General features: G+C 41.6%; 1 protein-coding gene and 1 pseudogene across 9 annotated transcripts in view, besides 1 other annotated feature; both read right to left on the bottom strand.

Annotated features, from left to right (window-relative positions):
• The window catches only part of TSHZ2 (teashirt zinc finger homeobox 2), a 522973-nt gene that overhangs the window by 395094 nt on the left and 103102 nt on the right, over positions 1 to 24777 (bottom strand). The gene's annotated exons all lie outside the window — the stretch shown is intronic.
• Positions 2340 to 2584, bottom strand: RN7SKP184 (RN7SK pseudogene 184; annotated as a pseudogene).
• Positions 11295 to 11521: a silencer, noted in NCBI's record as "fragment chr20:51705255-51705481 (GRCh37/hg19 assembly coordinates)". NCBI's record gives its function as "represses an EF-1alpha promoter that drives an FKBP-Casp9 reporter gene in an ReSE screen in K562 erythroleukemia cells {active_cell/tissue: K562}" and the evidence as "EXISTENCE:reporter gene assay evidence [ECO:0000049][PMID:32094911]".

Here is a 24777-nt window from a genome sequence, read left to right as displayed (position 1 = left end):
TAGGTTAAGAAAGCAGGCACAGAATCAGAGTCCACGAGTGCAAATCAAGGCTCCATCTTTTACTCTCTGTGGGATCTCAAGCAAGTTAACTAATCTCAGTGAGTCTCCAGGATTAATGATAACATGCATCCAGTGGTGGTTTGGGGTCAAATCTTAGCCACTGAATCACCACCAACAGCCAGTATTCAGCAGTGGCCTCAGCCCAGCCCCTGGCACTGAGTACTTGCTTATTCACTTGGCAAAAAGTGGATTCCTTCCATTCCCCCTTCACTGCTGCTGCAGACAGATCCCCATTATCATGATAGGACCAGGTTAGTGTGTAGAGGAGAAGTAATAACAATAAATAAGTGATATGGTTTGGCTGTGTCCCCACCCAAATCTCCTCTTGAATTGTAGCTCCCATAATTCCCATGTGTTGTGGGAGGGACTTTGTCAGAGACAATTGAATCATGGGGGCAGTTTCCCCCATACTCTTGTCGTAGTAGTGAATAGGTCTCACAAGATCAGATGTTTTTATAAGGGGTTTCCTCTTTCACTTGGCTCTCATTCTTTCTTGCCGGCTGCCATGTAAGACATGCCTTTCGCCTTCCGCCATGATTGTGAGGCCTCCCTGGCCAAGTGGAACTATGAGTCCATTAAACCTCTTTTTCTTTATAAATTACCCAGTCTTGGGTTTGTCTTTATCAGCAGCGTGAAAACAGACTAATACAATAAGTAAACAAAAATGTGCATGATATGTTCAGGCAGTAAGAAGTATTGTGAAGAAACAGGTTGTAGCAAATGATCAGAGAGGGACCATTTTTATTTCAGATGTGAGAGATTGTGGAGGCTTTCTGCAAGAAGTCGAGTCTAAGCTGGACCTTGTAGACTACTCTAAGACAAGAGAATGGCAACAGGGAAGGCCCTCTACAAGCACTAGATGATAATAATAATAGGGTTTATGACTTTTACTATTAAATTGAGAATTGGGACATTCCAGATAAGCTTCTGTGAAGAACTTGCCTTTGAGGAATGCAGCTGCATCCTTCACACCTGACCCTCGCTCAAAGGACCTGCACCTGTTTGGGTCTTCTTTCTTCCTTGCTGGTGCCTAGTCAATAGAAGATCATTCCATTACCTCTTAGGCTGAGCTGGGAGGTGGTGGGGGAGGTCACCATTCATTCACTATGGAGACTAGAATTATATGTAGGACCACAAGATGGCATCAAAGGTGGTCCAAGCACCTAGGCAAAGACTCATTGGCAATGGAATCACGCTAAGACTTAACCATATGAAAATATGCTAAGAGAGGGAATTGTAACCATCCAAAGATACAGAAGGATACAGAAAACCACAACCCTGGCCTTAAGACTGCATTCCTCATCCATGTAGCCCATGTTCTTATGTTATAGGATAAACTAAATAAATCAAGGGACTCTTGGGATAGATCAGGAATAAGTCTGCAATAAATTCCATTAAACTTACTTGTCAGTGCCTTGCCTGGAAACTTCACTTCTTTTTGAAAATTAAAAAGTATTATTGAATGCTGTGGAGATGTGGCAGGAACTGAGAGGGAAATTCCCCCCTGAATTTCTAGCTAATTTTTGAGAAAGTTAAATAATTGGAGACAGTTCATTTTTTTGTGATAATTCATCACACAGTGGATTCAAATGGGACCAAAAAAATTCTACACATTAAACATTTGCAGTATTATTAACTAGAAAACAGTATGCAATTGCTCATTTAGGTCTCTTTAGTTGTTGACTTACTAATTGCTAGGACAGTACACAAAGTAAGCACTAAATAAAAATGAGTTGAATAATGAATAAAGAATGAACAAAATGGCTGTGAATCTCGTACATCTGTTACATATGGTAACTATAATTTTTTGACTGTTTCCTTTGTGCTAAATGTTTTACAAAGATTATCTAATTTACTACCCCAGACATAGACATTGTTTTTATCTCAAGATGAATAAACTAAGCATTATGCATTATTATCGCTGAGGCTGGGCAATATTCAACAGTCAACCAGTATTTATTGAGTACCAGTGATGTGCCAGCCACACATAGCTGCTAAGTAGCCATTGAAGTTTGTCTGGCTCCAAATGCTATGCTCGTAACCACAATATTCTGCTGATTTTGAATGGAGAATGGTGGGAGCCGAGTTTACCAGACTCCAAATCAGACTTAGCTTCTCACTGATCACAAGAAACCTCAGTGTCAGGCAAACATAGGAAAACTAAAGGTCCTCATTGTACACATCCACATCATCAGCAATACCATATTTCTGCATATCCATTCTTGTGTATCTAAAACGCCACACTATTCATGGTCTGGCCTATGGCTTTCATTAAATCTAATGGACCTTGAGAGCATGTTGGAGGTTCTAGCAGGGGAGCATAGCTACTCGAATACCCTTGACCAAAGACCTGTCCTGCTCTATAGGGGATGGTCATCCTCTTCAGCTGAGCTTGCAGCTTCGGGAGGGACACACATGGAGTGGTGAAGGAGGAAGGGGACACCCGCCTAGCCAGCCAGATCAGCCAAATCAACCCTGGCAATCAATGGGGTGACAGATGTCACAGCCAGATCGTCCTCACATCTGGTTTTCATTAAATCTAACAAGCATTTTCATTAGAACATGCAGGCCAAGGTTTGGAGCAATGATTTTCCATCTGGTTGCCAAATATTAAGACACATTTTAAGTAACTAACTGGATTTGCTGCATGGATCCCCTGGGCCAGATTGAAACTGGAAATAGAACAAGTGTGATCTAGGAGTCTTGAGACAGCATTTCTGAGACATAAAGGCCAAAGGAGATGGGAATGCTTTCCCCATCTCTGCATCAGGAAATCAGAGTTGCTAATAACAGTCATCTGGGTATTATATCTGGCCTTGATACCTCAAACATTTTCTTAAGCAGGTTGGGAAGTACCTTCTTATTTTTATTGGGAAAATCATGGGACCAGCTCTGGGGAATAAAACATAGCAAGAGAATTATTACTGTGCCAGATGGTCATTCTGTCCCCTGAGTGGGTTTAACTCAATGGTTCTCAATCAGAGGCAGTTTTGTTCCCACCCTGTCCCTCATCCCATCCCCCTCCTTGTCCCAGGGGATGTTTGGCAATATCTGGAGACATTTTTGATTGACACAACTGAGAGTTCTACTGACATCTACAGTGCGGATGTTGGGGATGCTACACATCCTACCACACACAGGACAGTCCTCTGCAATAGAGAATTGTCTGCCCCCAAATGATGTCAATACCATTGAGCTTGACAAAACTTGTTTTTTGTTGTTTTTTTTTGTTTTTTGTTTTTTGTTTTTGTTTTGTTTTTTGTTTTTTTTGGTTTTTGGGTTTTTTTGTTTGTTTTAATGGAGTTTCACTCTTATCTCCCAGGCTGGAGTGCAGTGGCAGGATCTCACCTCACTGCTACCTCTGCCTCCCGATTTCAAGCGATTCTCCTGCCTCAGCCTCCTGAGCAGCTGGGATTACAGGTGCCCACAACCACGCCCAGCTAAGTTTTGTATTTTTAGTAGAGACGAGTTTCACCATGTTGGCCAGGCTAGTGTTGGACTCCTTACCTCAGGTGATCCACCCCCCTCGGCCTCCCAAAGTGCTAGGATTACAGGAGTGAGCCACCGCGCCTGGCCGAGAAAACCTGGTTTAAATGATGATGATGATGCTTATGATAATGACATACAAAATTAGAGCTCATATTTATTGAGTGATCATCTCACGCCTGCCCCTTTGCTAAATAGTTGTCATTTATAATCACTGAAATCTCACACCTGTACTAAAAAACAATACAGGCCGGGCATGGTGGCTCGCGCCTGTAATCCCAGCACTTTGGGAGGCTTAGGCGAGTGGATCACTTGAGCTCAGGAGTTCGAGACCAGCTTGGCCGACATGGTGAAACCCCGTCTCTACTAATAATACAAAAAATTAGCCAGGCGTGGTGGTGCACGCCTGTAGTCTCAGCTATTTGGGAGGCTGAAACAAGAGAATCACTTGAATCCAAGAGGCAGAGGTTGCAGTGAGCCGAGATTGCAGCACTGCACTCCAGCCTGTGCAACAGAGTGAGACTCTGTCTCTAAAAACAAACAAACAAACAGACAAACAAAAAACACAGAGGTGTTAGTGTTAACAGGAGGGAGACCTAGAACTTCCTGACCCTAGGATCCTTAAACCCTAGACTACAATTGCTTCTGCTGATAGGATTGGCTGGGCCCTTTGGGGTTCTGACAACCTTCCCCAGGTTCATTGGAGAAAGAGAGTAAAATGAAGGCTTCAAACCCAATGCTGAAATGTTGTCAAGCCCAGCCCTAGGAGTGGCTCTTTCCCCCTTTAGTATTATTTCCCTGGTGAATTGTGAGGTGATAATCCTCTGCTCCCCACTTTCCACTTGTAACAGTAGGCAGTGGTTCTCAACTGGGGGCCGTTTTGGCTCCCAGAGGACATTTTTGGTAGTCAGAACTGGGGTGGGGGGTAAGAAGGAGATGCCACTGGCATCACAGGGGTAGAGGCCAGGGATGTTGCTAAAGATTTTACAGTTCACGAGACAGCCCCATAACGAAGAATTATCTGGCCCTAAATGTCAAGAGTGCTTAGGTTGAAAATCCTGCAGTAGAAGGTGAAATGGAAAATCAAGCCTTGGGGAGCAAGCTGGCTTTTTATGTAACAGAAATTTATTATTGTTGCTGCTGTTGTTGTTCCCTGCCACCTATTCATGCTGCTTCTAATAATATCTTATCATCTTGCTTTGAGATCCCCATTTAGAGTCCATGTGATTCTCAGGGGGCTGGCTAGCTCCATCCCCAGCTCCAGCTGTCGCATGTCCTAAATGTGACTTATCAGCACATCCCATTTCTCTTGGTTGAGCCTGGCACAAGCACACCCAATTTGATATCATGAGATATTGCCTAGAACTTCTGAGACAGAGGCCAGCTCTGTGACGGTGGACTTACTCTTGAGAGATATAAAGCTGAGGCTGCTAGAGCCACCTGGTTACCACGAGGAGAGAGACTGCCTCAGGATAGAGCCAACATAGCAAAAGTGACCCAGAGAAATATATAGAGAGAAACCAAACCTTTGTGATGTAATTTAATGGCTTGAACCAGCAGTACCTGAAGCCAGCTTGTCCTAGACTTTTGAGTTGCGTGAGCCAGCAAATTGCCTGATTGTCTGAGCCATTTTGCGTTGGGTTTTCTGCCTGCTGTAATTGGAAGAGGCTTACCTTATACACCTTTCACTTTGAGGTCATAACTTTCATTACCTGAAATGATTTTCATTGAAAAACAAAAATAAGAAGGCATCTGCAAATTTCTCTGCATTATTTACAGGAGATTTCATAATGCAACAGGTAAATCTGGGGAAACTTCTGGGAGGCAGAATTTTCTTTACAAAGGGCCATCTAACAGAACAGCCACTGGCTATTCATAATATGAGAAAAATCCATCAGTCCTGATTTCTGGAAGCACAGGTACAGAGAGCCATAGGTTTCATCTATCTTGTGAAGAGTCTAGGTGTTCTGGGGGCATAGTAGCATTTTTGACACCTGTTATAATGACATCCATGATGCAGATGTTCACATCAGACTCTCAGCACGCTGTGTGGAAGGTTAGCAAGAGTACGCCAGGCAGATGTACTGCACCGTGGGGAGAAAGGCCCATGAGTTTACCATTGGGTAAATTTGAAAATCGCACTTCCCAAAATGAAGTAGTCACTAAAGGATCTCTGGAGGGGAAAATGTTCTAACTTGCACCGAGTCAGGGACCCACATATTGGACTTTCACCCAGGTGTAGAATGTCACTGATGAAGTTTAAAGACTACTGTGGCTCTGGTTCCCAAAGTGTGGCTCATATACCAGAGATGGCAGACAAGATGTTTTTAGTGGGCCCTTAAGTAAATCATTTTTTAAAATCATAATAGTTACAAGATTGTTTTTAATGAAAATGAAAACAAAAACATAACTAGCGTATCAAACATGGGATTTGGTGGTTTTTATGACTTAGTACAGTAGTTGGCAAATGTTTTCTGTAAAGAATCAGGCAGTAAATATTTCCTGATTTGCAGGCCAGACAGTCTCTACTCAACTATCTAACTTTGCCACTATAGGGTGAAAGCATCTGCAGACGATACAGTAATAAATGGGCATGGCTGTATTCCAATAAAACTTTACTTACAAAAAAAGGCGGAGGGCCAAATTTGGCCCTGAGGCTGTAGTTTGTCAATCCCTGGTTTATTTAAAAAAAAAAAAAAAAACTAAGTCAAAAAAGGGAGTAAAAAATTGTAAATATTTGTAACAAAAGTGGTACCTAGATAAGGTAAAAATCATGAAGTAGTTTGAAGACGGTTGAAGTCTGATGAAACCCGGCTGAGGTCCTATGCTTTCAGATTTATTCATGATGATAATGATTATCATCATAAATCATTAAATCACTTATTTTTAGCATGTGTTTATTGAGTGTCTATTATGTGCCAGAACACTGTACAAAGCACTGTGATTTCAACTGTGAATAAGACAGGCACGGTTCTTGATGAATTTTGCTGAGAGTTATGAGAAAATAGTTATGGTAAGAGAATGATAAAGACTTCTCTGAGGAAGTAACATCTAAGCAAACACATAATGAATGAGAAGACACCAGCCATTAGAAAAGCCAAAGAAAGAACATTCTGGAAAAGAAAGTGGCATGTAAATGTCCCAAGGCACAAAAGAGCTCCATGCACTGCTTCAGTATGGCTGGAGCCCACCCAGCGAGAGTGAAGGAGAGCAGCACCACCATGTTGGAAAAGGAAGCATGAGCTAGATCAGGCCATAGTGAAAGGCGTGGGAAACCACGGAAAGGCTTTAAGCAGAAAAGACACTTGGGTCAATTTCCATGTTAAGGTTACTCTTCCTTCCCTATGGGCAACAGACTGGAGGGGGAAGAGTGGAGCAGGGCTTCCAACCCAGCAGCCACGGCAACACAGCAGCCACAGTAGCATCTAACATTGGATGTGTGCTTACTGGGTCAGGTCTGTGTTCATCACTGAGCATTCCTCGTTAGATTCTCCCAATAACCCATCAGAGGGGTTGTATAATTGGTCCCATTTTACTTAAGTAGAAACTGATGAGCTGAGAAATGCTTTCAGATGGCCAGGCACCCACAGCTGGTAAGTATCAGAGCCAGGATGTGGCTCAGGTCTGTATATTTCTAAGAGTCAAATGCATCTCTTCTGTGCTCCCTAGCACAGGGCAAACTACAGTCCCAGGGCCATATCCGGCTCACCGCTTGTTTTGTAAATAAGATTTATTGGGAAACAATCCTGGCCATTTGTTTACCTAGTCTATAGCTGCTTTCCAGCTGAGTAGGTACTGCAGAGACTATATGACCTGCAAAGCTGAACATATATATCCACTGCCCTTTTACAGAAAAAGTTTGCCAATCCGTGGTCTATGCTACTCTTTCTAGCCAGCAGAATGTCCAAAACAAACGTGATGCAACAAAGATACTTTACCATGAGTGCCACTGTCCCAGAATGTTATTTTTACAACTGCTTCTTAGATCCTTTCCCACTCCGTTCTCATGTAGTATTTTATCTTAAGACTTCAAAATAATTTTTCAAAAGATGCAGCAATATACAAATTACAACTGGGAGAGAAATGTTTCCAAGAAGGGTTTCAGAAGAAACTAAAGACATAGCATGTGACAATGAGCAGCATACCAGGGAATATTGTTTCCTTTTCCCATGGCTAACATTTATCCCACAAGTAATGCCGTGTTTGTTAGGTGGTCTTGAGGGAAAAATATACTAGCAACCCACACAGCTTCTTTGTCAAACAGAACACAGTCAACGGGTAATATGAGAAGACTCAAGTTGACTGATAAAACATCATCTGGTGGCTAGTGTTAAGACGGAGAATGAATCCTGGCATTGAATTCTGGCTGAAGCTTCAGTCGACACTTGACTCAGTTTACACATTAAAAAAGGGATGTGACAACACAGAATGGTAACTAGGTTGGTTTCCAATTCTACTAAGGTCTCTCGTATAGGGCTATAAAGTATAGGATTGGAACTGATGTCAATTCTAATTGATGGGAGCGGTCACACAAGGAAACGATATTGTGAGTGTGATGCTTGCTGTCACATGCTGTGTCAGTAGTTTCTTCCAAAACCCTCCTCTGGGAAACAAACAAAAGCATCGGTTTTGTTGTTATATTTTTGAGACAGGGCCTTGCTTTGTCACCCAGGTTGTAATACAGTGGTGCAATCATGGCTCACTGCAACCTTGAACTCCTGGGCTCCAGCAATCCACCCTTGTCAGCCTCTCTAGTAGCTGGTACAACAGGCGGGTACCACCATGTCTAGCTAATTTATTTTTATTTTTAGTAGAGACAGGCTCTTGTTATGTTGCCCAGGCTAGTCTTGAACTTCTGGGTTCTAGTGATCCTCCAATCTCTCTGCCTCCCAAAGTACTGGGATTACAGGCGTGAGCCACTGAGGCTGACCAGAAGCACGGGTTTTTAGCACACTCTCTGAATTTCTGAAGTACACTATAATGGAGTGCTTTCTCTACATTAAGTATAAATGCTGCATTGGCATCAACAGTGCCTCATTTCCTTTTGGACAGGAAGTCGTGATACTTTTGCATCTTCAAAAATCTAAGGTAAGGGAATAAATGGATCTACCAAGAAATAGTATGGCTTTGCATATAAAATACAATCATATTGCAAATTTTAATGAGCAAAATCAGAATATAAATGAAGGATTTAAGTAGTAGGTAAATCTTACAAATTATTTAAGCTATATTTTCAGCAAAGCAACTTGAATCTGTAGCTTTGCTGGAAGCTCAGCAGGCAACCCACATCCAGTGAAAACCGGGAGCGGCATACAAACCTAGAGAAGTGGCTGATGACTACACAATCCCTTTCAAGGGACTGTGTTTTATAATGCTCAGCATAGATGTACTTCTTTCACCAATGTTGCCGTTATAGAACTATCTCCTGCACTACTATCCAGGCTTTACATAAACTCACTTCTTAAGTAAATGAATTTGAACAGTGTATTTTCTATCACAACTGACATTGGCAATCTAGCGATAATAGCTACAAAATTACCAAATTGATGTGGTCCTCATTTTACACAAGTATTACACCTTAAAATAAATACATTACAATTAAATTGTTAGGAAGTTTATCTGTGTACCACTTAAAATGCCACTGTGTGCTATCAGAGTTTCACCCATCCTCCAAAACACACTCCTGAGGGAATATAAACATTCATACATGTAAACATTTTATCTGATATGGTAAGTATTTTATTATTTGAATTAAATATTAAATGGTATCAAGTCTGTATGCGTGTTTTGTTATATGGAAACATGACATATTGGAAACAAAACAGCAAACGAAAAGGGGAGTAAAATTGAAGAAAGAATCCACACAGGCTTGAAGCTTAGGAGTGTGCACACACAGCATTAGTGACTTATTACCTCAAACCAGAGGCTCGATGAAGCCTTTGTTTATTCTGCAAATCCACAGCAAAATAATTGCTGTGAGTTATCTTAAGATGCTGAGGAAGCCACCTCAAAGCACACCTGGGCTTGTGGGCTCGGAGACCCTTGCAAGCAAGCTGCTGTCAGCTGCTCCATTTTGGCAGACGGGGAAATGGTGCACCTCAGTCTTACAGAGGTGCACTCCATTCCAAACCCAGCCAAAGTTCATGTCTGAATTCTGCTGCTTAAAATCTTTCAATTGGAAGGAACTCCTCACTCTGTCTCATGGCTTTCAAATTCCAGCAAACCTATTCCCCCATGGCTTCATGCCCTGACTCTCTCCACCCTATTCTCAACCCCAGTCAGAATGGTCTCCTTCGTATTTGTGACAGTTAATATTGAGTGTCGATTTGATTGAATTGAAGGACGCCAAGTATTGTTTCTGGGGGTGTCTGTGAGGGTGTTGACAAAGGAGATTAACATTGGAGTCAGTGGTGTGGGAGAGGCAGACCCACCCTCAGTCTGGGTGGGCACCATCTAGTCAGCTGCCAGCACAGCTACAATAAAGCAGGCAGGAGAAGATGGAAAGAGCAGATTTGCTGAGTCCTCTGGCCTTCATCTTTCTCCTGTGCTGGATGCTTCCTGCTCTCAAACATCAGACTCCAAGTTCTTCAGCTTTTGGACTCTTAGACTTACAACACTTGTTTGCCAGGGGCTCTTGGGCCTTCGGCCACAAACTGAAGACTGCACTGTCAGCTTCCCTACTTTTGAGGTTTAGGGATTTGGACTGATTTCTTTGCTCCTCAGCTTGCAGATGGCCTATTGTGGGACTTCACCTTGCAATTGTGAGTCAATTCTCCTAATAAACTCCTCTTGATATATACATCTATCCTATTAGTTCTGTCCCTCTGGAGAACCCTGATTAACACAGGATTCTTGGGCGCTCCCCAGGCCTTCCTCAGTAGGGTCTGGGCACTTGCTATTTCCTTTGACTGAAAGGTTCTTTTCTTGTTCTTCATGTAGACAGTTTATTCTCACCCTTTGAGACTTATCTAAAATGTCACCCTATCAGGGAGTTCTCTTATAGCCACGTATCTTATGATCTAGCTTTTTAATCTTCATAGCTATTATTACTGTGTGAAAAATCATATTTATGTGATTAAATGGTTAATGTCAGTCCCTCCAAAGGGGCTGTGATTTTTCTCAAGGGCAAATCTTTTCTCAGTCACTATGTTATCCCAAATGCCAAGTACAGTGCCTGGCATGTAATAGATACTTCATAAAGTTTTTGTTGAATAAATAAATGGACTTACGAAGACCAGCTTTCCAAATCTTGGAAAAATCCCTACTTATCTCTTTCTATTACGGTGCAAAATGTACATTCCCTTTACAACTTCTTTGCCAGCCTGGAAGTTGGAAAAACTCTGTTTAATAAAAAAAAAAAAAAAAAAAAAGAAAATCCCATTCCTGTACCTGTCACTGCTGGGTTAAACAAGTTCACTTAAGATTTTTTTCTCTGTGTGGGCTTTCCTCAGGCCCTATAGATGTGCCACGTATGTTTTATGAGCTAACATTTATTTTCGACACTTTGGCCTATTGGACATGATCTCGTAAGCCTGAACTCTCAGCTGACATGCTGTTGAACATAATGGGGAGATTTAAAAAGGTATCACCAAGGAGTAGAGAGGATTGCGGAGCGCCAGGGGCGAGGAGGAGGTGGTTGAGATGAGCCACGGAAAGCTTTCACACTGTTCTCCCTGGCAGTCAAGGAGCCGTTGCTATGATGTGCAGTCTCAGCACGTGCATCCTGAGCCAGCCGAAGAATGCAGAACAACCTAATTGCTATCCTTGGAACTCAGTGCTCCCAATAAACTTGAAAGCTGAATAGCAACATTTCACAAACAGAGCTGCAGCCTCCTAGCTAGGTGAGCGGCAGTGGAGTCTCTGCATTGCTGTGTGGTACTCTGGATGGAATCCACAGGTCTCGGAAATGCCAAAGCACTCTCTTTCTCAGACAGAGTGAGCCTTCAATTAATTACAAAAACTAGACATTGAAAATATGCCATATGTCAATCCATAGTGGAATTCATATGGGGGAAAGGGAAGTTTTAAAGGTTTCTGAAAGCCATCAAATCTCCATTTAGATAGAATTCTTCAAAAAAATATGAATTTAGTTATTCATTTGCACGGGGTAAATTTTTCAATTTAGCGGAACAAAGGCAACTACAACTTGGCATTTAAAAACTTGGGAGAGTTGACAACAGCAGGACGGAGGGCCAACGCTGAGATCCTCAATTCCATTCAAATCACATAATCAGTTAATGCCAATTTGTTGCTAGTGCTTTAAAGTCAGAAACAAACAGGGCCCTTAAAGGATTTCCCTCCATAGTACCCAACAAAATTACTCATTGCAATTTCCTGTATGATAATTTTTTAAAATGTCTGTCTAACTCCAGTAGACTATAAATTCCATGAGAGCAGAATTGTGTACATTCTGTTCACTTTTGAGTTCCCAGAGTTGAATCCAGTGCTTCATATATAGTAAGTTCCCAACAAAAACTTACTAAATGAATCAAATTAAGCCCCAGTGCTGGACCTCAAGAAGCTCTCTGTTCAGTAGGAAACAGGTAAGAAAACAAAAGGATTTCAGCAATAGGTGATGAGTCCCAGAGCAGAACTATGCCCAGGATACTTATGGGACAACAGAGCAGGAAGCTGAATTCATCTTGAAGACAGACATGGGGTAATAGAATGCTTCCAAGAGGGGGCAAAGCTTAAGTCAATTTTAAAAAATAATGCCAGGTAGAGAGAACTGCTTGGGAAAAGGTTGGAGGAGAGAGTTATTTAGTTTCTCTCCCTGGAGCATTAGTCCAAAAATCACCAAGGTGGCCAATTACCAATATGGCAGATACAAAGTCTCTGGTCAAGCCAAATGCCAAAAGAATTTACCTGTCCTTGGATTTAATCCAACTAGAAGAAGCAGAGGTACTACACAGCCAACACGTACCATCATTTAAGTCCCTGCCAATGGCCGAATCAATAGACATACTACTTTTCTCTAAATAGCCTGAAGACACCACTAAAATACACAAGCAAATCAAAAAAGAAAGTCTTTTCCAAGAGTTTTACCAAGAACTGTAAGACCTTGCCAGTCTGTTTCTGATCCTTCTTTTAACAGACACAAATCAGAAGCATGATTATGAGTAACGCTGTGCACCCAGTGAAGAGGAAGAGACACCCACGAGGCAATTAAAACTTTGGTCCATGGTCTTTCAAAAGTGAAGACTGGGGGCTTGCATCAAGAAGTCTGAGTTCTCATGAGCCGACTGTCAGAGCTAAAACATCAGAACTTTGGGCCAAGGATCGAAAATGTGTAATGCATAAATGTCTGTAGAAACTGCCAAGGGATTTGTGTGAGCTGACCAACTGTGCAAACAATTATCTGTGTTTAGAAAGCTCTACAGTAACGGAAACGTGAAGATTTGGCCTTTGGAGTTGAAGAATCTCCTGGAAATATCCCTTGGAGTAACTACTTGTTTACTTGGAAAAGCATCTGATCCTGGGCAAAAAAATTTCCCTTTTTTGGTTGACCTCAATTCTTCTCTCCATTCATGACAGGCTGTTGCTCAAGAAAGGGCAAAAGGTCTAGCCATGTGAGAATCTGGTATTATGAATTCTCCTCCTTCAGATCATCACATGGCTTGTTTTCTCACTTCCTATGAGTCTACTCATAGGTTCCTTTCTCCGCAGAGCCATGCTTGGCCATCCTATCTAGCATGAAACCCTCCACCCCATCCCCTGACTCTTCCTCTACCATCTTCTTGGCTTTGTTTTCTCCTTAGCATTTCACGTCTAACATGCCAGCTAGCTAATATATTCATTTTTTATTTTCCTTCTCCCTTACCTGAATTCTTAGGCAAGAACATTTGATTGGTTCATTGCTATATCCCCAGCTCCTGGAAGGAGAACTGGCATTAAAAGATAAGTCTTAAATGCAGACACTCCTTATGGTGCATGCCATCTCAGCAACCACAGAACTGTGCAAAGGGAAGACACGGTTTCAGGACACGAGTTCCAGTTAACAGAGGCAAATTGAGGTGGCCTATAAATAATTGTTAGGATGAACAGAGCTGTCCATACTTCTATTTTATGGTTAAGGCCACCAGGGAGAGGTTGTTATTTGCCCTATATACATCATTCCTGACAGGAGGTTTCTCCAACAATCACCTTCCAAAGAACCAATGTGGTAGACACACTTGGGGATGATCTATTCAAGCCATACCTTCCCTTCCACAAGAACTACTTGCTCCTCAAGCCCTAACAGACTCCACCTCAATCAGAGACAAATGGACTGAAAGTAGGCTACCCACAGAGAGCCAAGCTTTTGGTAGAGATTAGCCCAAAAATCTGAATGGAGATATGGCGATCTTGAGAGAAGGAAAGTCTGAAGGAAGGTGCAAAACACATATACCTTTTGGTTCATAAAGATACCTGGCTCTACCCTCTCCGACATCCCACTCAACCCCACCTTTGCATCAATTCCCTGGTCTATGCCAGCGCCCTCCTTAGACATTTTTGTTGTTACTGTTTAGTTGTTATTGCTTAGTTTCCTTTGAAGAGAGTTATTCTTCCTTACAACTAAAGAAACCTTGATTGAGATGCACAGTGGGCAGCTGGCACCCACCCCACCACTACTGAGCTACCAAGAGACCAGAAGACACGGCCTCCATGCAAAGAGATTGGTGCAGATGGAGAAGTCAGGATGAGGAACAGCTGGAGACCATGCCACATGCACAATAACCCTAGGCCTTGAGAGGCACAGGTGAGGTTGAGCGCAGCTGGAGAGGAGAACTTTGAGAAGCCCTCATGAAGGTCTGCCTGGCTTGTGGTTTAATGCTTACGCCTGAACGCCACCACTGAGCCCTGCGTGGGATTACTTCAGGGGGAATTTGAGGAAGTTGAACTCAGTAATGGGCATGACTTTGCAGCTAGGCACCTTTCTGGCCCTGAATCCTGGGGGCATAGTGTTTAAGATCATGAGGTCTAGACCACCTGGGTTTAAATCTGAACTTTGTAATTTATCCTGGGGAAAGTCCTTGCCCTCTTTCAGGGGCCTTCATTTCCTTATGTGTAAAATGGGAATAATAAAATAACACCTAGTGTACAATGCATACAAAGTAATTGACAAGGGGCCTGGCATGTAAATAAGTGTTCAATAAATAACAGCATTGAACACCTGAGTTTGTCTTACTTTAGGAACCAAGCCACTACCACTATGCAGTTTCTCCTCGGTGTGTTTCCCCACTGACAGCCTGGTCATATTTCAGATTCTCCAAGACATGCAAAAGTTCTACCTAAAGTGAAATATCGGTCTTTCTTTCTTTCTCTCTCTCTCTCTCTCTTTCTTTTTGAGATGGAGTTTCATTGTGTTGCCCAGGCTGGAGTTCAGTGGCGCGATCTTGGCTCACTGCGACCTCCGCCCCCTGGATTCAAGCGATTCTCCAGCCTCAGCCTCCCGAGTAGCTGGGATTATAGGTGCCCGCCACCACGCCCGGCTGATTTTTTTGTATTTTTAGTAGAGATGAGGTTTCACCATATTCGCCTGGCTGGTCTCGAAGTCAGGAGACTTCAGGTGATCCACCCATCTCAGCCTCCCAAAGTATTGGGATTACAGTCGTGAGCCACCACACCCAGCATCTATTTTTCTTATTTAACAAATGCACCATGAGCTAGCACAGGACTAAATTCTTCATGTATATGATAAAGCAGGTATTATTATCCCATTTTGGAGGAAAGCAAACTGAGACCCAGTGAGGTTACATGGCTTGAAATAGGCCTAACAATCTAATAAATGATTATTAATGTCTACACAGAAAAAACCCAAGCATCTTACTTTCTCAGTAAATTGCTTTCAGAAAAGCTAAATGTTAGTTCAAGCCTTGGTTTTTGTCTTGGTGAAAGGCACTTGCATAAAAAAGTATGAACTGAGCTTGACTACTGGTTTTAAAATACAGAATAGGTGCTTAACCAAAGAAGGAAGGAAGGAAGGGAGGGAGGGAAGGAGAGAGGGAGAGAGGGAGAGAGGGAGGGAGGGAGGGAGGGAGAGAAGGAGAGAAGGAGAGAGGGAGAGAGGGAGGGAGGGAGGGAGGAAGTTTGGTTGGAAAGGAAGAAAAACAGAGGAAAGGATGAATAAATTTTTAAAAATTGAACATGAAATTAAGAGTCAATCTTGCTCAAAAATTCCCACCTATAATCAGAATGCTCCTCACTAACCAAACTGATAGAAGTTTAGTCAACAAATTTGTCATTTGTCCTCTGTATGGATTACAGCATCATTCAGTTTTAGCTAGTGACATATTGTTGGGCTGAATCTTAAATAATGCCCAAACAGTGAAAAATCTTAGTGGAAAAAACCCCGACAAAACTAAGTCCACTTGAATATCCAAATTGCTTCAAACACTCTTTAATACAATATAATTCCAACACAAAAATAATTCCAAGGGTTCTTCAAAATTCATTATAAAACAATTTAACCGATATATAAACACTTGTTCTTGATTCCAGGACCTGAAATTAACCAGAATAAGTGGAATGAAAAATCTTTTGAGTAATTGCTGTGTATTTTGTCGTTCTTTACTTTTCCTGGGTTATAAAATTTTTGTAGTTATGGAAGTGATCTTATTACTTATGACAAATTTGATTAGTGGCTATTCTGTGGCAAACATTATGAAAAATACCTTAGCTATGTTATCTTATTTAATTTTTAATAATATTTTAGTTTTTTTAAATCAGAGAAACTTAAACAATAATAAAGAAGGCTTATGATTTTACCCAAGATAAATCAAATGATGTTAAAAGACAGAAGTAAAAAAAATGCAATAAATGCTTACAGTTAAAAAAATTCACATAGAAAGGGAAGAAAACTTATAAAAAAAATAGACATTCCCTCTTCAAGTTATCAATGCAAACTGGAAATTTTTATAATTCCTTCCAGTAAAAACAGAAACAGAATTCCATACTATCTCATTTGCTTTTAGTCTTTATAACGGTGAAGCAAATATTACTGTCATGCCCAATTTATAGATGAGGAAACTGATACTTCAATTAGTTAAATAATTTGCAGAATGTCTCACAGCTGGTAACAATGACAGACTAAGGTTTGAGCCTGAATAAACAGAAACAGGATTTGAACCAGTCTGTCTGACTTCGAAAACTGTTTGTTCTTTTTATCAGGTAACCTGATCATATCTGATAGTCCTTTTTTGGCTTTCCGATGTGATCAGCAATATGAAAGAAGTAGATATGGCGAAAAAAGGATCACCGACCCTGGCTATACGGTTAAAACCGATAGAAATGTGAGGCTTCAGAATATATTTTTGCAGACCTATTAATTTGGAAAGCTATTTACAAGCCTCAAGTCAGGCCTACAAGCAATGTCTTATTTACCTCCCTAAGGAAGGTCACATTTTGGGGTCCTATAAGTAAAAATAACATTGATAGCTACATTTAAGGGAGAATTGGAAAACTCAAAGGCATGGTGTGATTCATTGGTTGGACGATTGCACAGATGCCTAACTGTAAATGCACACACATAAAGAATTCTAATAAATCTAATAAATGATTAGCTGTATACCTACATCAAAATTTGGACTTAGATGGGACACCTATTCAATCTGTTCATTTTATACACAGAAGGTTAGGTTGCAAGTAGTGGTCATTTTGTCAGCCAAAGACAGAGCTGGGGGAGTCCTCTGGCCTCCAAAACCCCTCTGCTGAGGACTCTTTCTGAGTTACCACCACTAAGTGTCAAGGCTCTGGCCTTGCCTCCATCTAACCAGGAGCACCCTGTTTCTAATATTCCCATCAGAGAAGAATTTGAAATTTGCTGAAACTATCCAGTACAACATTTAACAAGATTTGGCATGGACAGTTTCTCAGGAATTACTGCTTTAAATAGCCAACACCTTCCCATAACGGACTTTGTGATTTCATAGATGAAAGCACAGGTTTTTCACCCCCACATAAAACCAACTCTTGCCAGATAGATTCTTTCACATTTAGGTGGCTTATCATTTCCAACTTTGTTTAGACAGCTTTGCAGCTGCCATTTTGGAGAAAGGGCATCGGTGAGGGAATCACCAGGGCACAGAAGTCCTTTGAAAGGCTTTAAAAATGAGTTCATCCAGCTAAGACAATGTTTTCCAAAAATAATGTACTTTGGCTTAAAATGTAAAATTAACATCAAATGAAGATCTCTTAAGAAGCTCTAAAATGGAGATGACTATCTTAGTAGCGTGTAGTAGGTACTTGATGCAATCAGCGTGTTCTACACAGGTAATTACTTTTACTACTAATGGTGCCTCCCACTCAGTGAGAAAGATAAGAGGCTCCAACTCTACTTAATCACGAGGCTTCTTTATTATGGCTCGACCACCTACTGAGTAAAACAATTCGCTTGCTCTATTCAGCAACTCTCACAAATGAGAAAAATTTATTAACATGTGAGCAGAATGGGACTTATTTAGTATGTACAAAGGGGATTACCACATGATTTAAAAATACATAGACCATTCAAAGAGTTGTGTGGGTCATCTTGAGTGAAGGCCTTTCTGGAAAATGTTTATTTTTGTAATGTTGAAGCTGGTTTGCAACAACTGTCCAGTTCAATGTGCTTTGAAGCTATTTAGAAGTGTCTGTTAAGAGAAGGGAGTGACGAAATTACACAAATACAAAGTCAGTGACGGGTGACCTTGGGTAAGTTATTCATCTCCTCTGGGCTATTTTCATATTTGTGGAATGGGAATAAGAACAAAAATATCTGACTGCACTCCAGCCTGGGCGACAGAGTAAGACTCTGTCTCAGAAAAAAAAAAAAAAGAATAAACATATTTGTTTCATACTTACGTACAGTCAGTCTAATATAAGGTGTTTGTGTGTTTCTAAAAAGGACCACAGTCTTCTAAATTTCACAATAAAACCCACAGAGCTTACGGGGAAAATGGGTTTGGGAGAACAAAGCTCCTGTCAGTAACATATAATAAAAAAGCAGGAACCTAATACAAACAGTAGCACCGTTTTATGCAGGTTAAATGGTGAAAAAATTTATAAACACCGTGATAAATAAGTATTTTACCTTAATAAAGAGCCGTGGAAGTGGGTGTTGGAAGTGGTGGGAGGAGTGTTACCTGGAATCCTACAGCGTTGTAACAGCAATTGTGCATGGGTGGGTGGGGCTTGTGGCACACCAGCTGAAGGAAGTGAGTAGATGTTTGAGGTATGTGTGTGTTTGCTTTTGTGTATTTCTACATGGCCTGGTTCAGCTGGGTGCAGTTTTCTGTGTTCAGTGTTTCTCAAGGACGAAGTCACACGTACACAAATGCAAACTCAGTGTCAAGCTGAAAGTGTATCCACCATTTTGGAGCAAAATTATGTTTTAAGGAAGCATTGGCTGGGCACAGTGGTTCAGGCTTGTAATTTCAGGACTTTGGGAGTTTGAGGCAGGATCACTTGATGCCAGGAGTTTAAGACCAGCCTGGGTAACATAGCGAGACCTCATCTTTACAAAATAAAAAATAATAAGATAATAAAAAAAACAGGTGGGTGTGGTGGCACATGCCTGTAGTCCCAGATACTTGGGAGGCTGAGGCAGGAGGACTGCTTGAGCCCAGCAGTTTGAGGCTACAGTGAGCTATGATCATGCCACTGCACTCTAACTTGGGTGACAGAGAAAGATCCTGTCTCTAAAAAACATGTTTTAAAAGCAGTATTATAGCAGAACCGACAGCATTATGAAGATTAAAGAAGCTAATGTTTGTCACTACACAGTGGGACCTTAAGAAGTGTTATTTTTGCCTTGATCTCCGTGGCTGCCTCAATTAAACTGGTGTCAAATTCAATCCCAAACTCATAGCTGGTGGACTTAGGCTGTTCATCTCTTTGTTATTCTGGATCAACAAAAATGATACGACTCTAAAGCAGGTGTCCCCAGCCCCTGGGCCGCGGGCCGGTACAGGTCCGTGGCCTGTTAGGAACCAGGCTGAATAGCAGGAGGTGAGCGGTGGGCGAGCGAACATTACCACCTAAACTCTGCCTTCTGTCAGCAGGGGCATTCGATTTTCATAGGAGTACGAACCCTGTTGTGAACTGTGTATGCGAGGGATCTAGGTTGCACATTCCTTAGGAGACTCTAACTAATGCCTGATCATCCGAGGTGAAAGACTTTCATCCTGAAACCATCCATCTCCCCTACCTTTGTCCGTGGAAAATTGTCTTCCATGAAGCTGATCCCTGGTGCCAAAAAGGTTGGGGACTGTTGCTCTAAAGAACTGACTTGCAATGTTAATAGAGGATTCAATGCATTTGTTAAATGTGTACACTTGTACCTTTGTCCTTGCCTACAACAATATCATTTCCTGTAAAGAGATTAAGCACAAAGCCAGGAAATACCATCCTCTTCCTTAAGACCAAGTTGAAAACTACTCTGTAAGAAGCAGAAATTTAGTGGCCCTTGGGAGGAAAAAATGGTGTTACTATTCACAATGTTTGATTAGCACCAGGGAAGGGCAGACCAATTTCTCTCTAGAGCCTTTTAGTAAGAATTAATGGGAAACACATACATAAGGCTCTCTATGCGTCTGGTACCATAAGAGCTCTGGATATATTAACTCGTTTAAGATTCGAATCATTCTACATAATTGCTTTTCGGGTCTTGATGTTTTTTATTAAATTAGGTAAGCTGAGCTAGTCTGGAAATTCAGTCAGATTTCCAGTTAGCTAGGCAACAAGTTTTCATTGGGCAACAACAACTTGAAGAGACTGAATAACCTAAGTTGAACTTTGGAGTCAGACCAATCAGAATCACGGCTTCACTCATAAGCTATGTGTATTAGGACATATAATTCAACTTTTGTGGACCTCAGGATCTCTTCTGCAAAAAAAAAGAAAAAAAAAACAGAAAAAGAAAAAGGTTACTAGTAGCTATAGTAGCTATCTGCTGGTGCTTTTGTGAAAATTAAATGAGATAAAGGGTATAGAGTGGCTAGTGTGATAGAGGGCACAGTCAGCACTCAATACATTTATTTATAGAGTTATTATCGTTTTATTACCAGTGTGGGGCCAGCTGATATTCACTTCGTTAGGCATATTGGCACATAATCCAGCTGTTTGAAATAGTGCCTGGCTCAGACCAAAGCCTTGGAATTTGGCCTCTAAAGACTTGAAGTCTCTGCATTCCTGATTTTTTCCTTTCTGTATTCCCAATACACAGGATTATTCTGTCTCTGTAGCGCTAAGATGCCTTAAACATAGCAGCGATTTGAGAGGGTTTTGCACTTGCTCTGCAGATTAACCTCTTCCAGTGTGAACATGTCACTGTCTACGTTAACCACTGTCTGGCAACCCGCATGAGATATGCACACTGTTGTCTCTATTTCTCATCTCTCATTTATTTTTCAACCCACCCAGTCTGGCTTCTCCTCCCATTGGTCTACTGTGAATGCTTTTACTAAGTTCACCCAGGAGCTCAGCCAAGTTAAGTCCAGTGTGCATTTTTTCAACTTGCACCTTACTGACTTCTACTAAAAGTAGTTAGTAGAGCTAACCACTTTTTCCCTCTTGAGACACTCTCTTCTCTATTACTTCCTATTTTGACAATCACCCTATGTTGATAGTCTTCCACGCTCTCCAAAAGCTCATGTTTTGCAGACTTTTTTCCTTTTCAATGTTGGATATTGGCCTTTCTCAGGGCTTAGTCTTTCTTCCTCAATAATCTCACCCTAAACATGCTCGTCCACTGCCAGGGGTTCATTATGTTCTATTTGCTAGGACTTTGACATTGATGTAATTGGGTATTATGTTGAAATCCAGATAAGTACCCAATGGTCTTCTCCCTAACTCTTGAACATCAAACTTAACAGTTCCCAAATGGAATTACGATTTTTACCTTTACCAAAATTTTCCCCCACTCCATTATTCCCAGCGTACCTCTAAATTTACCATATAGCCAAGCTCTATTGATTTTTACCACCAAATCTATCTCAATCCACCCACTTCTCTACATCTCTATTGCTGCCAGCCTAGTCTAAGCCACCATCTTTTTGTCACCTGATTATCACAGTAACTACCTCACTGCTGTCCTTGAATCCATCCTCATTCTACTCCAATACATCCAGCAAAATGCAGCCAGGGTATTTTTCAAAGATAATTTATGATGTAATCCTGTGACTAAAAACCTATAATAATTCCTCCATGCTCAAAGACCACATCGAAAAGTGTTAACATGATCCCAAATATGCCAGAGTCCCTCTAATCCAGTTTTATCTTGTACCATTTCATGTCTTTTTTCAAGAAATATTTAACGAGTATTTATTAGGTGTCAGGCATACTGTAGTTCTTGGACTTGGCAAATCTTCTACAATGAACAAGTATTACTCAAAATTTTAATTTAAAAAATGTCTAGGTGTTCATTCAAAGGAATAGAAAAAAAGCTGTCATGAAATGGTTAAACCCACATTATTTTCTCTATTCTGAGTAATCCCCCTAAGTGCAAAACTCTTTACTCATATGTTTTTAGATTTTGGGTTTAGATCTTTGACTTCAGGAAATCTCCCTTTCTTAGCGTGAACACACAGATTTTGCAGTCTAAAGCTGGATTCGTGATTGATAGAAGCTCTTCGCATGTCATTCTCCCTCCTTTCCGATAGATTCACTCTCAGAAACAGTCATGCAAACTCTGCCTACGCATTCAGTAAATTGGAGAAGTTGACATTCTAAACATCTAAAAGGTAAGGATTTGGGTAACAGAAACTCACCCACATTGTACACAGGGCACATTTCAATTTTCTGCTGCAGTACTCAGAGGAGATTAGAGTGTTCACAAAGTTAAGAAATTTCAGAACAGACAGGGAGAGTGAGCAGCCAATTTCCATTGCATCTTTGCAAGTGACTATCAGGAAATTTGTTATTAATTTTGTCCAAGGTGATGTAATCCAAACATTAGTCACCAACCTCCTTTTCAGCGATAACGAATGATCTATTAATTGCCACACTGACTGGCCTTTTGTCAGGCTTTGTTTTTCTTTGACCTTTGTGCAGTATTTGATACCTCCACTACCCTGTCTGTGTGACTCAGGCTTGGCTGCTGTGTATGATGTGCCTAAACCTCCTGGGTCGTCCTCCCTTCTGTTTGCCTTTCTATCTCTGGATCATCCAGAATTGCTCCTAATATGTGGACAGGTCCCAAGACTCTGGTCTTGTCAATCTTTTCTCCCCTTGCTAACTCTCCCTTCTCAAACAAAACTAATTCACTCTCACAGCTCCAACTGTACAGATGATCCCCAGAGTATTATCTTTTTTTTTTTTTTTTTGAGGTAGAGTCTTACTCTGTCATCCTGGCTGCAGTGCAGTGGCACAATCTTGGCTCACTGCAACCTTTGCCTCCAGGGTTCAAATGGTTCTCCTGCCTCAGCCTCCCAAGTAGCTGGGATTACACGCACACGCCACCATGCTATTTTTTTTTTGTATTTTAGTAGATACAGGGTTTCACCATGTTGCCCAGGCTGGTATCGAACTCCTGACCTCAAGTGACCCACCCGCCTTAGCCTCCCAAAGTGCTGGGATTACAGGCATGGGCCATCGTGCCTGGCCTCCAGAGCATTATCTTTACCTCTCATCTCTGCTAAGCTCATAGACTTGTGTCTTCAGCACCTGAGAGACTACTTCCACTTGGTCACACTTTTCCTTTCCCCTCTTTTGCTTTTCCATCAGAATTTACCTCTCCACTCTCTCTAAGCCCGAGTTCTCTTAGGAATACCATGATTCTTCCGGATACAAAAATGCAAAACTCTGAAACTGCACATCAGGGTCTTGTTTATAACTCTTTCTTTAATGACTTCCCATCACTCTCTGAATTGCGTCCAAAATGAATTATGCATCTGCAAGTCCCTTTTATAATTTAACTCTTTCCAGCCTTCCAGGATCCTCCATCTAGTCCTTCATCAGGTTGTGTTTTCCTAAGTTCATTGAATGTGCAACATCTTCCTGCCTCATGTTGTCAGCAAATAAGGTACCTGTGCCTAAAATGTTCTCCACTCCATGGCCTGCTCCACCCTCACCTCCCACCATCAACCTAATTTAGTGCTGTTTTTTTCTTTTTTAGCTGTGAGCTTTGACATCACTCATCTCAGTAAGCCCTCAGTGATCTTCAGACTGGGTCAGGACCTCCGCATCGCTTGTATGGAATCTGGCCCAGTCCTTTCATAGTATTAAGCACAACTGAAACGTGCAGTCTGATACTGGTTTCCCCACTAGATTGTGAGCTCTGTGAAGGCAAGGACTTGCTCATCTACTTTCATCCAGTGCCTGGCACACAATAGGGCCTCAGTAAGTTGAACAAATGAATGAATGAATTAAATCACACTTTGGTGACTCCATTATCAGCCATGTGCAGTTTGCCAGCAAATTCAGCAATTTTTCTGGTTAATATCACTCCACCCTTCCTTCCTGTCTCCATCATCCTTTCTGCTGTCATCCAGTCCAGGCTCTCATCATCTCTTGCTTGGATCACTGTAAGAGCTCAACTGTTTTCTTCAGATCTCTCTTTGCTGTGATTAGTTTTGTAAACTACTGCCAGATTAATCCTTCAAAAAATTCTTTGTGTTATTCCTTTGCTCAGTAATCCTTGACCACTCTTTTCTGTCTACAGAACAAAGTGAAAAGTGTCCTAGGGTCTCAGAGTCGAAAGGAACCTTGAAGATCATCTGGTGTAACCACCTCTCGCTAGAAGTGAGGAAAGCGAGGTCAAGAGGGGTTGGGTGACTTGCCAAAGAACAAGGAATCAGTGTTTCAGTCTCCAGACTGAATGCAGTTGAGAATGTGCCACTTAAAACACATTCAGTCTCTCCCATTGCATGTAAAGTACAGCCCAAACTCCTTCCCATGGTCCCCAGTCCCAGCAGAACCTGGCTCCCACCGATGGTGGCTGACTTGTCCCAGTGTGCCGTGGACTCTCCCAGTTTAAAAACTGAAAATCCATCACCCCAAGAACTCCCTCAGTCTCCTAGCAGCCTGGGCTGGTGATCACCCTACTCCTTCCTCCACCTTCATTCTCATATCTTATCACGCTCTGCCTTGTTTAGTTCTCACCTGTCCTGCTGCCTTCTGTTTCTAGAACATACTATCCAAACTCATTTTCATCTAGGGCTTTTGCACTTGCTTCTCCCCTCTCTGTGTTTGCCAAGGTTAGTATCAGAAACTAACCTCCCTGATTTGTCGCTCCTTTTATAGCTTGGCATGCAGTGCTTTCATAATCTGACTTCA

The sequence above is a fragment of the Homo sapiens genome, chromosome 20, assembly GCF_000001405.40.
Source record: "Homo sapiens chromosome 20, GRCh38.p14 Primary Assembly".
In the NCBI taxonomy this organism is placed as follows: domain Eukaryota; kingdom Metazoa; phylum Chordata; class Mammalia; order Primates; family Hominidae; genus Homo; species Homo sapiens.
Note: the sequence above shows the minus strand (reverse complement) of the source record. Positions and strands in the feature narration are given on the sequence as shown.